At 47.2% G+C, this 16,511-nt stretch overlaps 1 protein-coding gene and 1 long non-coding RNA gene across 4 annotated transcripts in view, besides 1 other annotated feature; both read left to right on the top strand.

Annotated features, from left to right (window-relative positions):
• Window positions 1-3,253: 3,253 nt before the first annotated feature.
• LOC105371106 (uncharacterized) lies at window positions 3,254-15,936 on the top strand. The gene is made up of 3 exons (XR_933144.3): window positions 3,254-3,416; window positions 6,325-6,431; window positions 14,839-15,936. It is a non-coding gene; the product is annotated as an uncharacterized LOC105371106 (long non-coding RNA).
• Window positions 15,488-15,989: an enhancer, noted in NCBI's record as "H3K4me1 hESC enhancer chr16:17564811-17565312 (GRCh37/hg19 assembly coordinates)". NCBI's record gives its function as "activates a minimal SCP1, AML or CMV promoter by ChIP-STARR-seq in naive H9 embryonic stem cells {active_cell/tissue: H9 hESC(naive)}" and the evidence as "EXISTENCE:reporter gene assay evidence [ECO:0000049][PMID:30033119]".
• The window catches only part of XYLT1 (xylosyltransferase 1), a 369,192-nt gene continuing 368,663 nt past the window's right edge, over window positions 15,983-16,511 (top strand). For all 3 annotated transcript variants that reach the window (XM_047434458.1, NM_022166.4, XM_017023539.3), the window contains exon 1: window positions 15,983-16,509. In XM_047434458.1, the coding sequence (XP_047290414.1) occupies window positions 16,147-16,509 (363 nt within the window). In that variant the 5' untranslated portion in view covers window positions 15,983-16,146. The remainder of the gene's footprint in view (window positions 16,510-16,511) is intronic.

The following is a 16,511-nucleotide window of genomic DNA, read 5'->3' as shown; positions in this document are numbered from 1 at the left end:
TCGGTTTCTCCAAGTTTTCTGCCTTGTCTTGGGCCATTTTTAATGTTTATTTTTTTCCCAAGAAATTAGCCACTTAATCCAGGTTATCAAATGTATTGGCATAGAATTGCACGTGATATTCTCTTCAATTTTCCTTTACTTCTGTGATTTTGGCTAAGTTTTCTTTTTTACATAGCTATACTTTTATTTTTATTTATTTATTTTTTTTCTAAATCAGACTTGCCAGGGGTTTAATCTGGTGTTTCAAAAAATGAGTTTTTGAGTTGATTTTTTACTTTCTGCTGTTGTTTGTGCTTTCCATTTCATTACATTCAGTTTCTGTCATTATTATTTTTTATGGAGAATTTCTTTTATTTTCTTATTGTAACCTCTGGGCTCATACATTTCTTCATTGTCTTATTAGTCATTCTTTATAATGAAGGTTTTGCAGTCTATTAATTTTCCTCTGACTATAGCTTTTGTTGTATTCTGTTGATTTTGTGATATTCTCTTATTTATTGCTCTTCTAAAAAAGATTAAATTCCATTATCTAGGGTGGTGTTTCTCACTTTTTAAGTTATTAAAACAAATAAAATAAAATATTTATAATATTGGATTATGATTAGGGAGAATCTGGCTTGAGAAAAATCTTTTTTATTTTATTTGTTGAGGTTTACTTTATGTTTAGGTATATGACAGATTCCGTGGATATTAGAAGATAATATTTACTTTCTGTTAAGGTAAGTGTTTCTCTATGTATCTATTAAATTGAGTTTGTAGGTTGCAGTGTGCAATTTCTCTATGTCCTTACTGATTTTTCTTTCTATTTATCTACCTGCTATGGAAAAGAAGCATATTGATTTCTTCAAATATATATGTATTTCTTTTATCAAGTTCTCATTGTTTTTCTAACAGTTTTCAGATCTTGTATTTGATGTTACTATGTGCTGAGTGCTACTTCGAGTGCTTTTTAACATTAATTCATATATTTAAGCCCCCTGACAATCGCAGGAGGAGAGTACCGTGTTCCCCCAGTTTTGCAGATGAAAAAGAAAGGAGAAAATGAAACAATCTCTCCAACACACCAGAGTTAGTAAGAAGTACATGGGAGATTCAAACCCAAGTGGTTTGGGTCCAGGGTCTTGTTCCCCCACTGTTGCCCTGCCTCCGACATCAACAGCACAGTTGGTGTCTCCCCTTCTTGCCAGTGGCTTTTTCATTACATGGTTAACATAGGTTCTCATTTCTTCTTCTTCCTCTTTTTTGCTTTTTTTGTTTTGTTTTGTTTTTTGTTTTTTGTTTTAGAGACCCTCTGTTGCCCAGGCTGGAGTTCAGTGGCATGATCATGTCTCACTGCAGCCTCGACCTCCCAGGCTCAAGCAGTCCTCCCACTTTAGCCTCCTGGAGTAGCAGGATTGCAGGTGCACAGCCACCACACCCAGCTAGAATGAGTTCACGTTCTTTGCAGGGACATGAATGAAGTTGGAAACCATCATCCTCAGCAAACTAATGTAGGAACAGAAAACCAAGCACCACATGTTATCACTCATAAGTGGGAGTTGAACAACGAGAACACATGGACACAGGGAGGGGAACATCACACACCCGGGCTTATCGGGGGGTGGAGGGAAAGGGGAGGCAGAGCATTAGGACAAATACATAATGCATGCGGGGCTTGAAACCTAGATGCTGCGTTGATAGGTACATCAAACCACCATGGCACATGTATACCTATGTAACAAACCTGCATGTTCAGCACATGTATCCCAGGACTTAAAGTTTTTAAAAAAATAAAAAAATAAAAATTTTTTGTAGAGACAGGGTCTTTCTATGTTGCCCAGGCTGGTCTTGAACCCCTGGGCTCAAGCCATACTTCCACCTCAGCCTCCTGTTGTGCTGGGATTACAGGCGTGAGCCACCACACCGGATCCTTCTCTGTCTTCTTATGTGACCCCTTTCCTGTAACTCCAGTCATTGCGCCCCAGGTGAGGCAGGATAATCAATGCTGTTTTCTGCAATGTCTTTGGACTCTGACTTCAACTTCAATTCATCAACAAACATTAATCAAGCTCTTACCATGTGCCAAGCACTAAGCAGTAAGCAAAGCAGACAAAACCTTGCCCTCATGGGCTTTATAATCTAATGGGGTCAGACAGACAGACAACAATAAATAGAATAAGTGAACAAGGTGGTCAGTGCTCGGAGACCAATAAAACAAAGTCAAGGCAATTGGGGGTGCTGGCTGAGGCACTGTGATTCCACTGCGATAGTTGGGAAAGGCTTAAATGAGAATGTTACTGGCGATGAATTCATACGGGTCTGCAGCAACCTCAATTCTTGCCTCCACGGAAGAAAGGATTCAACTGAGGGGCATAAGGCAGAAGGAGAGACTGAGGCAAGTTTCAGAGCAGCAGTGAAAGTTTATTAAAAAGTGTTAGAGGCCGGGTACGGTGGCTCATGCCTGTAATCATAGCACTTTGGGAGGCTGAGGCGGGCAAATCATGAGGTCAGGAGTTTGAGACCAGCCTGGCCAACATGGTGAAACGCCATCTCTACTAAAAATACAAAATATTAGCTGGGCGTAGTGGCGGGTGCCTGTAATTTTAGCTACTCGGGAGGCTGAGACAGGAGAATCGCTTGAACCTGGGAGGCAGAGGTTGCAGTGAGCTGAGATCATGCCACTGCACTCCAACCTGGTGACAGAGAGACTCAGTCTCCAAAAAAAAAAAAAAAAAAAAGGTGTTAGAGCAGGAATGGCTGGGCGTGGTGTCTCACGCCTGTAATCCCCGCACTTTGGGAGGCCAAAGCAGGTGGATCACCTGAGGTCAGGAGTTTGAGACCAGCCTGGCCAACATGGTGAAACCCCGTCTCTACTAAAAATACAAAATTAGCTGAGTGTGGTGGTGCATGCCTGTAATTCTAGCTACTTGGGAGGCTGAAGCAGGAGAATCACTTAGAACCCAGGAAGGGAAGGTTGCAGTGAGCCAAGATCAAGCCACTGCACTCCAGCCTGGGCGACAACAGAGCGAGACTCCAACTCAAAAAAAAAAAAAAAAAAGCGTTAGAGCAGGAATGAAACAAAAAATGGTATACTTGGAAGAGGACCAAGCAGGCGACTTGAGAGATAAAGTGCGCTGTTTGACCTTTGACTTGGGGTCATACACTGGCATGCTTCTGGGGTCTTGCGTCCCTTCTCCCCTGATTCTTCCCTTGGGGCAGGATGTTACCTGGAGCAGTGGCCTGGAGAGAAGCATGCTGAGTGTGCTTCCTGGAGTTGTACGCATGCTCAGTTAAAGCGTTCTTCCCTTACCAGTCAGATGTCCCCAGGAGGTCATATACCAGTTAAACTCTGCCATTTTGCCTCTTAGTGTGCATGCTTGAACCTACTTGCCCAACTCTTGAGATCTTATCGGGAAGCTGCTGATCACCAGTTTCAGGTATTTCTGTTCATTGGGAAACTGCCTTTCCCTGGTGCTGACTGCAACCAATTATTATTTTAGAGAGACAGTTAACAGCTGCCTGACCATGGTTGCCTGACATTCCTAGTGGTGGGGGAGGAGCCCTCTCCTGCCCTGTTCATGTCTGACTAGCTAACTACTGTAACTAGAAGATGACACCTTCTTCAGAAGCTTGAAAAAGGCAGGGAGACAAGGTAAGGGAGGGAGACAGGCAGATATCTGGGTGCACAGCATTCCAGACATAATGAAAAACCAGGGCAATGCCGCCAGGTGAGCACCTGCCTGGCGTATTTAAGAAACTGAAAGGAAACCAGGGTGATGGAAGGGTGTGAGGAAAGGGCAGGAAAATAGCTTGTGCAGGTGAGAGAGATGCTGGGGGCTGGATGGTGGGGGCCATGCAGGCTCTTATAGGAACACTGGCTTTATTTCTAAGAGAAATGAGGATCCCCTTGATGTTGCTGTTAACTAATGAATGACAACACTGCAGCTAAGTTTAATCAGGTTTTCTCTGGCTGCTGTGGAGAGAACAGAGCAAGGTTGGAGGCAGGGCTGTGAATTAGGAGGTGACTGCGGAATCAAGGGAGAGACAATGTGGCTTGGACCTAAGTGATGGCCATGGGGACAGTGAGATGTAATCTGATTTGGGAAATATTTTGAACATGAAGCCAACAGGATTTGCTGATGAATTGGGTGCGTATTACGAGCAAAAGACAGGAGCTGTGATGACTGAAAGCTCTTGATATGGAAAAGCTTTTGGTGGCATGAGCTGGGAAGGAAGTTCAAGAATTCCATTTTGGATATGATAAGTTTAATACTGTTAGGAAATAATTCTCCATGGGCTGTTTATATTTCTGCACATTGTGGCTTTCTATTCTGGATGACTTTTTTTTTTTTTTTTTTTTTTGGAGACAGGGTCTGACTCTGTCACCTTGGCTGGAATGCAGTGGTGCAATCTTGGCTCACTGTAACCTCCGCCTTCCGGGCTCAAGCCATCCTCTCACCTCAGCCTCCTGAGTATTTAGGACTACGGGCACAGCCACCACTTCCAGTTAATTTTTTTTTTTTTTTTTTTTTGAGATGGAGTCTCTCTCTGTTGCCCAGGCTGGAGTGCAGTGGGGCAATCTCGGCTCACTACAACCTCCAACTCCTGGGTTCAGGTGATTCTCCTGCCTCAGCTTCCCAGGTAGCTGGGATTACAGGCATCCGCCACCAAGCCTGACTACTTTTTTTGTATTTTTTTCTAGAGACGGGGTTTTGCCATGTTGACCAGGCTGGTCTTGAACTCTTGGCCTCAGGTGATCCATCCACCTCGGCCTCCCAAAGTGCTGGGATTACAGGTGTGAGCCACCATGTCTGGCCACAGCTAATTTTTGTATTTATTGTAGAGATGGGGTTTCTCCATGTTGCTTAGGCTGATGTTGAACTCCTGGGCTCAAGTGATCGGCCTGCCTTGGCCTCCTAAAGTGCTGGCATTACAGGCATGAGCCACCATGCCTGGCCTCCGGATGACCTTTTCAAGACATCAAAAGGCATATAAACTTCATATTTGTATTGTGAACAGCCTTAGTAGGCAGAGATAGTGTCTCCCTTCTGGGCAGAGGGCAGATTTGTTTGCTATTCAGGCTAATAAAGATAATGTCTCCCTCTGGGGCAAAGGTTGAGCAGATTTGCTTGCAGCTCATTATAAAATACAGAGTTTTTCAAAACTCCAGGTTTCTCAGTCATGTGTAGAGCATCTGCCTTGACCCCCTCTGTACCACCCCAGAGACTTGGTGGGGGATGCAGGGAGGGAACTGATGCAAACATGAAGCTCATGCTGCCTGCTATGAGGTGGGTAATAGGATCTTTTGTCTCTGATCCAGGAGTCTCATGTCTTCTGCTGGAATTCATGAAGCTATGGCAGAATACCTTGTTAGTTTGCAAGTAGGGTCAAATCCCCAGCCCCTTTTTCAGTTCTTGACAGAGATGTCTATTAGACATCCAAGTGGCGATGCTGGGTGAGCAACTGAGTGCATGAACTTGGAGTTTGGGGAGGAGTACAGGCTGGAAATATAAACATGTGAATTAGAGGATTTCTTTATAGCCATGCATCTGGATGGTGGAGAAGAAAAGCTATGGAATTAAAGCCTGGGAAAAGCCAGCACAGAAAATTGGGGTAAGGAAGGGGAGAGGACAGCTGGAAGAGAAGGGATTAACCAAAGAGGCTGAGAAGGAACAGCTGTGAGATAGGAGCGAACCCAGAGAGCAGCATCCTGGAAGCCAAAGAAATAAATAAGGAGGAAGGAAGGGACAACTGTGACCTTTGTTGCATTAGGCTAAGTAACTATTGAATCTGGTAATGAGGTCACTGATGAGCTTAAGAGTAGCGTGTGTGTGTGTGTGTGTGTGTGTGTGTGTGTGTGTGTGTGTGTTAGAAGGGCTTAGGAGAAGATGGAAAGGGAAGAATTGGAGATACGGTGAGCTAGACAATGCTTTTGAGGAGTTTTCCTGCAAAAGAAAGAGAAACACGAGATCGAAGCTATAGAGGGCTGTGGGGCCAGGAGAGAACATTTTTTATTTTATGGTTTTTGAGATGGAGTTTCGCTTTTGTTGCCCAGGCTGGAGTGCAATGGTGCAATCTCAGCTCAGCCGAATCTCAGCTCACCGCAACCTCCGCCTCCTAGGTTCAAGCAGTTCTCCTGCCTCAGCCTCCCAAGTAGCTGGGATTACAGGCATGTGCCACCATGCCCAGCTAATTTTGTATTTTTAGTAGAGACAGGGTTTCACCACGTTGATCAGGCTGGTGTCAAATTCCTGACCTCAGGTGATCCGCCCGCCTCAGCCTCCCAAAGTGCGTGATTACAGGCATGAGCCACCACGCCTGGTCAGAACTTTTGTTTTTAACCAGAGAAATACCAGGGAATTCAAATGCTAGAGGAAATGCTGCTCTCGGGAGGAAGAACTGATGATAAAGGAAGGAGAAAATGGAAGTGTTGGAGTGATGTCCGCAGATAGGTAAGACAAGGTGGGGTCTCTTTGGCAGATGGAGGAGTGGGTCTCGACCTGGAGCCTAGAAAGTTCATTCACAAAAACAGTCCGCGACACCGATGTAGAAAAGTGGGGAAATTAAATGGCAGGAGCTTGGTGGGAAGCTTCCTTCCCCCTCCCTTGTCAACCTGGGAAGCAAGGTCCTCAGGCAAGTGGGGAAGGAGGAAAGTCAGAGGCAGGAGGGGAGAGAGAGCTGGTGGCTTCATGCCTGGGAGAGTGACAAGACCAGCAAAATGCAGCGAATGAGACAGCATTGAGGACCCGCTTGCGGCTCATGGCCTTAGAGGGAGAACCTGTCCCTTTATGGAGGCTGTACAGTGTGGCACTCAGGAGCTGTGGCAGTTATGCTTCTTACCATGTGGACAGCATTGTTCTGCCAGGAGGGAGAATTAATCAAGCAGGCAGAAGGAAGCAGAGCAAGAGATAAAGCGGGTGACTTCTGTGTTTGGGTCCCTGGTTCCAGCTCTTCCCAAATCCCACCTCTATCCCTGAGCTTCTTTCAGTTAGACTGTTTCATTCTATCAGACACGTCATCGTACCAGCTATAGAGACAGAAACCCAGCCTGAGTGGCTCCAACTAATATGGGGCTCATTCTTGGGTGTGAAGAAAAGTCTAAGGATGGGCCGGAGACAGCAGAGCACCAGGAACCCAAGCTGTTTCTTTCTTTCTGGCTCACCACCTGTAGTACTGGCCTCTGTCCTCATGGTCACAAGATGGCTGCTGGAGCTCCAGCTATCCTTTCTACATTCCAGTCCAAAAGAATGGGAATGATGGCTGGGCACCATGGTTCATGCCTGTAATCCTAACAGTTTGGGAAGTTGAGGTGGGCAGATTGCTTGAGCTCAGAAGTTAGAGATCAGACTGAGCAACAGGGCGAGACCCCCATCTCTACTAAAAATACAAAAACTAGATGTGGTATCAGGTGCCTGTGTCCCAGCTACTTGGGGGGCTGAGGCAGGAGAATTGCTTGGGCTTGGGAGGTCGAGGCTGCAGTGAGCCGAGATTGCACCACTGCACTCCAGCTGGGGTGACAGAGTGAGACCCTGTCTGAAGTTAAGAATAGAAAAAAAACAATGGGAATGGCAAGGCACAAAGGGAACTCAATCCCAACTTATTTAGGATCTTCCCTCCCACCCCAAAGGATTTCTTGGGAGCTCTACCAATTGTATCTGCTGTCTTCTTTCCGATCACTCCTAACTTACAGGAAGGCTAAGAACCGTTGCTTTTGGTTTGGGCTCATTGTCACCCCAACTAAAATCAGAATTCTTGACCAAACAGGAAAGGAAGAATGGGTATTTGAGAAGCAGCTAACAGACTCTGGCATATCAAACAGGCTTCCAGTGAACTTCTGTTTTCCTTGTGGAATAGAGTTCTTAGAGGGCAGGTGCAAGGAGAGCCTTGTAAGGGAAGCACAGAGGCTGTGAGTCCTCAGAAGGTCAAAGTGCTGGGACAAAACAAAGTCAGATCATCTCTTAAGCAATGTGGTGCTTTCTGATTTTCTTCCCTCCTCCCCATCTCCCACTCCCGCCCCCAACACCGTACACTTAGCCCTTGTGGAATAGAATTCTTAGGGGTTCAGGTAAAAGAGATTTGAGAGACACAGAGAGAAATAGCAATAGGTGCAGGATGGGTTGACATTGGGGTGCAGAGAAGAAGCTACAAACAAGATGGGAGAGGTGATTTGGGGACTACGGGGCTCAGCCTGCCGACTTAAAGATACAGGGGCTAAATAGAAACATCTGTGGCATACAGAACCTTTGAGAGGGGTGAGGAGGGTAAAGTTAAGAAATTAAAAAAGTATTTGGACCAAAAATATTTGAGATCTAATACATTAGTTGCTCTCAATTCTTCTTTGGTGAGATGGATATTTTTAACTCTTTTCTTTTTTGGTGAACTTTTTCCTAACCCATTCCATAGCTCCCATCATGACCATGCAAATAGTTATTACTAATCACTTTAAGAAAATCCAAAATGCCCAAAGAATGACAATGAATTTAGCATCATTTATATATCACACATTTGAAAAATGGATCTACAGTTATTTGTTCAGTCAGTAGATGATGCTTGATGCATAAATGGAGTAAGAGTTGTTAAACAGTCACATTTCTTGAGAAGGTTATCAACACTCCAGTGTCATTGTCTGGGTAAGGTCTGCCCTGACCAGCCTGTTTCCCCTTGTCCTATTTTAGTCACTCTAGCAAGTCAGCTTCCTTTTCTTTTTCTTTCTTTCTTTTTTTTTTTTTTTTTTTTTTTTTGAGACAGGGTCTTTATCTGACACCCAGGCTGGAGTGCAGTGGTGCAATCTAGCTCACTGTAGTCTTGAACTTCTGGGCACAAAGAATCAAGTAGCTAGGACTACAGGTGAGCACTACCAACCCTAATTTTTAAATTATTTTTCTTTGTAGAAAAGAGGTCTGGCTATGTTGCCCAAGCTGGTCTCAAAGTCCTGGACTCAAGCAATCCTCCCGCCTCGCCTCAGCCTCCCAAAGTGCTGGGATTATAGGCGTGAGCCACCATGCTCAGCCTCTTTTTATTTTTTTCATAGCACTTATCACTCTCTGATATTACTTGTTTATATATTTGTTTGTCTTGACCTGTCTGCCTCCTTAGAATGCAAGCTTGATGACAGGAGGGACTTTCTGTGTCTTATCCGTGGATGAATTCCCATGAATCCCTGGCATGAACACTGTCCTAAGTATTGAATCAATTCTCAACAAATATTTGGTGAATATGATTTGTTGAAGTCCTCAATATACGGCTTGGCACCTAGTAAGTGCTCAATAAATGTTCGCTCTTATTGCCGTCATCGTCATCATTGTCATCCTTGTCATTGCCACAGTCATAAATAAGCCTATGGCCCCAGGGGTTAGATTAGGCACCCATAACACATATAATCAACTTTTTTTTTTTTTTTTTTTTTAAGATGGAGTCTTGCTTTGTCGCCCAGGCTGGAGTGCAGTGGCACAATCTTGGCTCATTGTGACCACCACCTTCCAAGTATCTGGGACTACAGGCATGCACCATCATCCCCGGCTAATTTTTGTCATTTTAGTAGAGATGGGGTTTCGTCATGTTGGCCAGGCTGGTCTCAAACTCCTGGCCTCAAGCGATCCACCTGCCTCGGCCTCCCAAACTGCTGAAATTACAAGGCATGAGCCACCACGCCCAGCCCACAATCAACATTTAAAGAAAAAAAATGTCTGCCAGTGTAGTCTGAGACTTGGACTGCGTCCCCTTTTCAAACATCAGAGCCTTGCAAGGGTAGCATAGAGGCTGTGAGTCCTTAGAAGGTCAAAGTGCTGAGACAAAACAAATTCAGATCATCTCTTAAGCAATGTGGTGCTTTCTGATTTTCTTCTCTCTTTCCCATCTCCCACTCCTGCCCCAACACCCTACTCTTGCAAATTGGTGTGATTTTCTTCTGCACACATGGTAGGTGCCCTCTCCACATAGGACCTCGCTTTCCTTTGCTGTCTCCAGATTTTTTTTACAGGAAACTCTGCAGTCAGAGGAATGTTATTTACTACCTAGAGCTCCCTCTGCTGATGCATTGGGTAGATGATTAGCCTGGAAGCCTGCGGATTTCAGCAGAAGCACAGCTGGGCTCCTGGCGGGGTTTGTCACCTGCCTATGCCTGTGGTCTGATCAGAGGCTGTTTCTTTCTCTTGCACTGGGGAAAGAGGTACAGGTGATGCCTGTCTGTCTGTGACCTCGCATGCTGTGGGTGGGGCTCCAGGGACGTTCAAGGTCCTGGCTCCTCTGACCTCCACGTGGAATCCTTGCACTTGCAAATGCTTATTGGAGAGACTCTGGGATTCCTAGTGGGCTGGGAGGGTGTTCAGCGTACCACTCACTGACACTCAGAAACAGGTGACCCACCTGTTCATGATTTCTGTCTCAACGCAGAAGTGAAACGTAGGGGGAATTTTTTAATTTTTCAAGAGCAAAATTTGTAGAGTCTGGGTGAAAACAGGCTCTAATAAACCAAAAAGAAATAAATGCATGATCGAAATTTTAAAAAAGAATGTATTTGGCTAAATTTAACTCTTAGGCTGAAGTTTATTTAAATGCAGAAGGCATATCCAGCCCTAGCTCTCTGGCACCTGGGGCAGGAGCATTGAGGCAAGGGGAGAACATTGCTTTACAGACCACCCTGCCAATGCAACCAGGCTAATATTCCTTCAACACTGCTATTGGCCGGTGCTATCATTTTGTATAAACTGTATGACACTCTGCTATATACACTGCCCCATTTCCCTGCCTCCAACCCCCCAGCCTTAAAACATACGTATTATTTTTCTTCACTACTTACAGTTGAGAGTATCGAGGTTTGGTGACATTAACTAACCTGCTTAACATCACACAACTAACAAGTTGCCGAGATGGTGTTTGAACTTGGGTTCCTTGAACTTCTAAGCATGGGGTTCCAACCTGCCAGCATCCCAGGCTCATTCCTACCTGCCCCATAGATCAGTGTTCATTCCACCCCCAAAATGTATTCAGTGCCCTGCACTGTGCAAAGCACCAGAAAAAGTAGAGATGAATGAGACTTGGTCCTAACCCTTGGGGGTATGTGCAATCTTCTATCAAAGTCGAGGATGAGGTTTTAGTGCTACTTTCTCCAGGCAGCCCTGGATACCTTTGGACACTCATAATTGGCAGTGCCCTACTGTTACTAATAAAAACTAATAACAAAATAAATAAAAATTAATAAATAAAATAAAAATTAATAATAAAAAATTAGTGGGTGTGGTGACGTGCACCTGTAGTCCCAGCTACTTGAGAGGCTGAGGCCAAACAATTGCTTGAGCCTGGGAGTTTGAGGCTGCAGTGAGCCATGATTGTGCCCCTGCACTCCAGTCTGATCAACAGAGTGAGAACCTGTCTCAAATAAATGAAGAAAAATAAATAAGACACATATCATCTAACATTTACGGAGCACTTACTATGTGTCAGTCACTATAGGAAAAAGCCTTTCTTATGGATTATCTCATTGAATCCTTATAAGAAACTTATGAGAATGGCCCTTTTATCAGCCTCATTTTACAGATGAGAAAACTGAGGCCTCGAGGTAAACAACTGATACTTAGAAATCCGAGTCAAAAAGTAGCAGAGCTGAGTAAACCTGGGAAATCTGACTCTTAACCATTTTGCACACTGACTCCGCTGTGGCTGCCCCCTCCTCTGACCCCATCCCGCGCCTGTCTTGTCCCATGACCTCTTCTGACAGCTCCTTGAGAGAGAAGAACCCTTTCCCCCTGGCCTTCCACTTTCTCTCACAGCCCCGAGCTCAGTGCTGGGCACACCTAGGAGCTGAAAACTACTGATTAACTGATTTACTCCCCCCTTCACTGGAAAATGGCGATGAAACAAGATTTGGGGTGGAGGTGGGGAGGGAATCCCACAGATCAGTCTGGGGCTTCTTCAGAGCTCTGGCTCTTGGTCAAGTGAGATTAGGAACGATATTTTAAGAGCAGAGTTCCTTAGGAAATCTTCTACACGCCTATAGTTTGCTTTCCCAGCATGACGTCCGGCACATAATAGGGTCCAATACATCTTTGTTGAATGACTGAATGAGCTTTAAAAATTCTAAGGACTCTCACTGCTGTTGCTAGGGCTGCCGCTGGAGTCTCAGGCGGTGCTTTCGGCTCTGTCTTATACATCAAGCTCTGCCTGTCTCGCTTTTACACCACAGTGGAAGCCAAAGCCGGGGCCCCTTCGAATGCAAAGTGGCTGCTTTTGCTTGGTTTGGCTTAGAAGACATGATGCCCGGCCCCTGCTCCCAGGGGTTCTGGCACTGCCCAAACCAACTGCGCCCCCTGGTACTGAGATACATGTGCACTGCAGATTCGTCAAAATTCACGCCCTTCTCCCACTCCAAGCCACCCGCTGTTCTGATCTCATCTTTGTCTCACCTCCTTACCCAAAGATTCTTGAGGTGCAGGAAGACAGCTCCAGTGACCCCAGAAGCTTGCCTTCCTATTCTTCGATCTCGGGTGATTTTTCATCCTAAAACCATCACATAAGCTGTTTATGGCGTCCATAACCCGCCTGGAGCCTTTAAACCTCTTTCTTGCATGGCTTTTTATAAGTCTGAGATAAACAAACAACTCTCTCTCCAGGGACTTGGAGCCCAGATCCTTAACCTCACTCCTTAAGCCCCTGGCCCCTGAGGGAGTGGAGCCAGAGGGTGGGCCCCAAAGGACTGTGGTTAAATGTGAGATGTGGAGGAAGCAGATAACATCATTGCTGCTAACGGGAAAAATGCGGCCAGAGACCTTGAAGCAAAGATGAGCCAGAGGGCAGGGTTGCCAAGAGGCTCCAGAGCAGCCTCTGCTGGGTTGAGAAGCTCTGCTGAGACACTAAGAGAGCGTTCTGGCAACATGTGAAATCTTGGGGGCTGTCTCCTCCAACCCCTCATTTGGCACTAAAGAAATCTAAGTCCTGGGAGGGGAGGTGGCTTGGCCAAGGTCATATAACCTCGGGAGGCTGCGTGGAATAAATGATGGAATCTGTTCCCTGCACCTACTTCTTTCCCATCAGACCCTGATCTCTATAGGGCATCCAAGTTGTTACAGGGAGGCTGGCTTCACCCCAATGGCGGAGGTGAAATATGGGATCTTGGCCAAGTTGATCGGCATTTTCTAACTTCCTGGCCACACTGATTGGTCTCGGAGTGACCCAGAACTTAAGACTGGTCTAATCAGAAAAAAAATCTCCGAACCTTTGAGGAAAATCCTGGGAAATACTGACCCTCCTTTCCCTGGGCTAGAAATGAACACAGGATACAAAGTAGTCGCAGCAGCTGAGGCCAGGCATCGTGTGACATCAAGAGGGAATAAGGTAGACTCCATGGAAAGCAGAGAGGAGAGATGGAAAGAAAAGGAATCCCAGGTGATAATTGTGAGTTGCTAGATCAAACCTCACCTGAAGCCTTTCCTCTGCAATGTTCAGCTACATGATCCAGTAAAGTATATTTTTAAGACAGACCGGGCTGGGCACAGTGGCTGATGCCTGTAATCCCAGCACTTTGGGAGGCTGAGGCAGGCAGATCACCTGAGGTCAGGAGTTTGAGATCAGCCTGGCCAACATGGTGAAACCTCGTCTGTACTAAAAAAAAAATTAGCTGGGCGTGGTGGCACATGCCTGTAATCCCAGCTACTCGGGAGGCTGAGGCATGAGAATTACTTGAACCCAAGAGGCAGAGGTTGGAGTGAGCTGAGATCACACCACTGCACTCCAGGCTGGGTGATGGAGTGAGACTGTGTCAAAAAAAAAAAAAAAAAAAAGACTTAAAAGATAGACTTAAGTCTTATTACTGTTAGTAATAGATGTTATTGCTTGTAAACAAAATATCCCCAACTGATAAACAGATGACTGGTGGCCCTAGAAACTTGCCTCTGGTCTTTTACTCCTGGTTAGGGGTGCTGGGCCCAAAGGGAAGGCCTCTATGCCAGGCTACATGCCTGGCTAAGCTTTAGATACAACTAAGGTTGATTGGTTTGGAGTTTACAACCCCCACTAGCATACATTTTATACTTTTCTTGTTCAGGCAAGTGGACTGGCTAATTACATGGGTTCAGAAAGCATTTTTTCTTGGCGCTTACTCCCGTCCTGCCCTCATGAACCCTTAGCATTTTTGCACATCTCTACAGCAATGCTTATCTCACCATATATATATATATAATATTATATATATTTACATATAAATATATATATTATATATATGTTATATATTATATATTATATATATTATATGTACATATATATAAATATATTATATATAATATATTTATTATATACATTATATATAATATATATATATACAATATATATATATTTATATATACGTTTTTTAGATGGAGTCTTGCTCTGTAACCCAGGCTGGAGTGCAGTGGTGTGATCTCGGCTCACTGCAGCCTCTGCCTCCTGGGTTCAAGAGATTCTCCTGCCTCAGCCTCCTGAGTAGCTGGGATCAGGGGTGTGTGCCACCATGCCCGGCTAATTTTTGTATTTTTAGTAGAGACGGGGTTTCACCATGTTGGCAAGGCTGATCTCGAACTTCTGACCTCAGGTGATCCTCCTGTCTTGGCCTCCCAAAGTGCTGCGATTACAGGCATGAGCCACCGCGCCCAGGCCTATCTCACTATATTTTAATGATTAACATCCACATCAGGCTTCTCTAGACCTCAGGCTTGCTGAAGATGAGATTAAACCTCATTCACCTTTGGATGCGTGCACCTGGCCCAGTGTCTGACACAAGCTTTGTATTCACGGATGCTTGTGGAGTGGATGAAACAATCTCTTCCCACTCCCTGCCTCATTGTCTGATGAGCCTTCATTACACTCCACTTTCTTCTCTTTGTAAATTAGGATGAGGTGAAAAAGCACAGCAGACAAGATGCGAAGCATTCACGCCAAGTCCTCAATTCACAAACTGATTTGATCTGCTGTTGTATTCCCAGAGTGCTAGGTCCCGTATGGGACACCAACGCCATCCCATATGCTCACTGTTCTGCGCTGCTGTGTATAAAGCCCTGGGCAAGAGGACAAGGGAGGGAAAAACCAGAAAGACTGAGTCAGAGAAGGCTCGGGATGAAATTTGAGTCCATTGGGATCATTCTGCCTAAACGACAGAGGAGAAAGCTTGGGCTCAGGGAGGAGTCCTCCTCCTCCTGGCTCAAGGTCACCGGGACAGACCAGTCAGGATGGGAAAGAACTCCACTTTCAAGAGCAAGACCTGTTTCCCCAGGACCTGGGCCCTGTGCAGACAGGAAGGGGGACTTCAGGATGGATGGGGAAAAGGACACGCTGGGAGGCTGCGGGGCCAGCCTTTGGGGCTTGCATCCTGCGAAGGTTGAGTAACTCCACGGGTCTCCCTTTTGCCGCTATACCACTTGCCAACTGGGTTTGGAGTCTCTTGGCTTGTGAGTCCTCAGGGACCAGAGAAGTGACTCAGTGAACACTTAGTACATCGTTGGCACCGGGGATTGTGTGTGATTCAGGAGTCACTCACAGAGCTTGTGCTGATTAACTCCAGAAACTCACCCAAAGCCTCCTCCCCACCCCTTCAAGCCCAGGATGAAGGGATCAGACTGTGGCTCTGACACTCCTGAAATGTTTCTCACGTGTCCACCTGCCAACCGGTCTGGTACCGACAGAAGATCCCTGGACCGCGAACTCCGGGGCTAGGAGCTTCCTCCACGCACTGCCTCCTTCCAGCGGCCCACAGGGAAAACAGGACCTCGGGACCCCCTCTCTTCCTGACCTCCCCTGGATTCTGAGCGGGCCCACCCTCAACCAAAGGTCCCCTGTTTCGCGGCCCCTGCCTCTCTTTTTCCGCCTTGGGAATTGTCCCCCTCGCCCCCCATCCTACTCCCACTACGTCCTGAGGGGTGTCTGTCTTCTCTGATCGCCCCCACCCCCTTCCTTTCCCTCCTCCTTTTCCTCCCTCGGCTCCTCCCCCAGGCCCCGCCCTCTCCGCCTCGGCCCGCGTCCCCCCGGCGCCTTCCCCATCACCCTCCCCTCCAGCGGGGACAGGGGTGTGGGGAGGGGGGCGGCGGCGGCGGCCCGAGCGGGAGCCCGAGCGGCAGCCGGCGGCCGCGGGAGCTGCGGGGAGCGCGGGGGCGGCCCGGAGCGTGCCGGGGTCCCCGCGCCTCGCTCGCCGGCCGCGCTCCGAAGATGGTGGCGGCGCCGTGCGCCCGGAGGCTGGCCCGGCGCTCGCACTCGGCGCTGCTCGCGGCGCTCACGGTGCTGCTGCTGCAGACGCTGGTCGTGTGGAATTTCAGCAGCCTCGACTCCGGGGCCGGGGAGCGCCGCGGGGGCGCAGCGGTCGGCGGCGGGGAGCAGCCGCCCCCGGCCCCGGCCCCGCGCCGGGAGCGCCGGGACCTGCCCGCCGAGCCGGCTGCAGCCCGAGGAGGAGGAGGAGGCGGCGGCGGAGGAGGAGGAGGACGGGGGCCCCAGGCGCGGGCGCGGGGAGGCGGCCCCGGAGAACCGCGGGGACAGCAGCCGGCCAGCCGGGGGGCACTGCCCGCCCGGGCTCTGGT

Source organism: Homo sapiens, chromosome 16, assembly GCF_000001405.40.
Source record: "Homo sapiens chromosome 16, GRCh38.p14 Primary Assembly".
In the NCBI taxonomy this organism is placed as follows: domain Eukaryota; kingdom Metazoa; phylum Chordata; class Mammalia; order Primates; family Hominidae; genus Homo; species Homo sapiens.
Note: the sequence above shows the minus strand (reverse complement) of the source record. Positions and strands in the feature narration are given on the sequence as shown.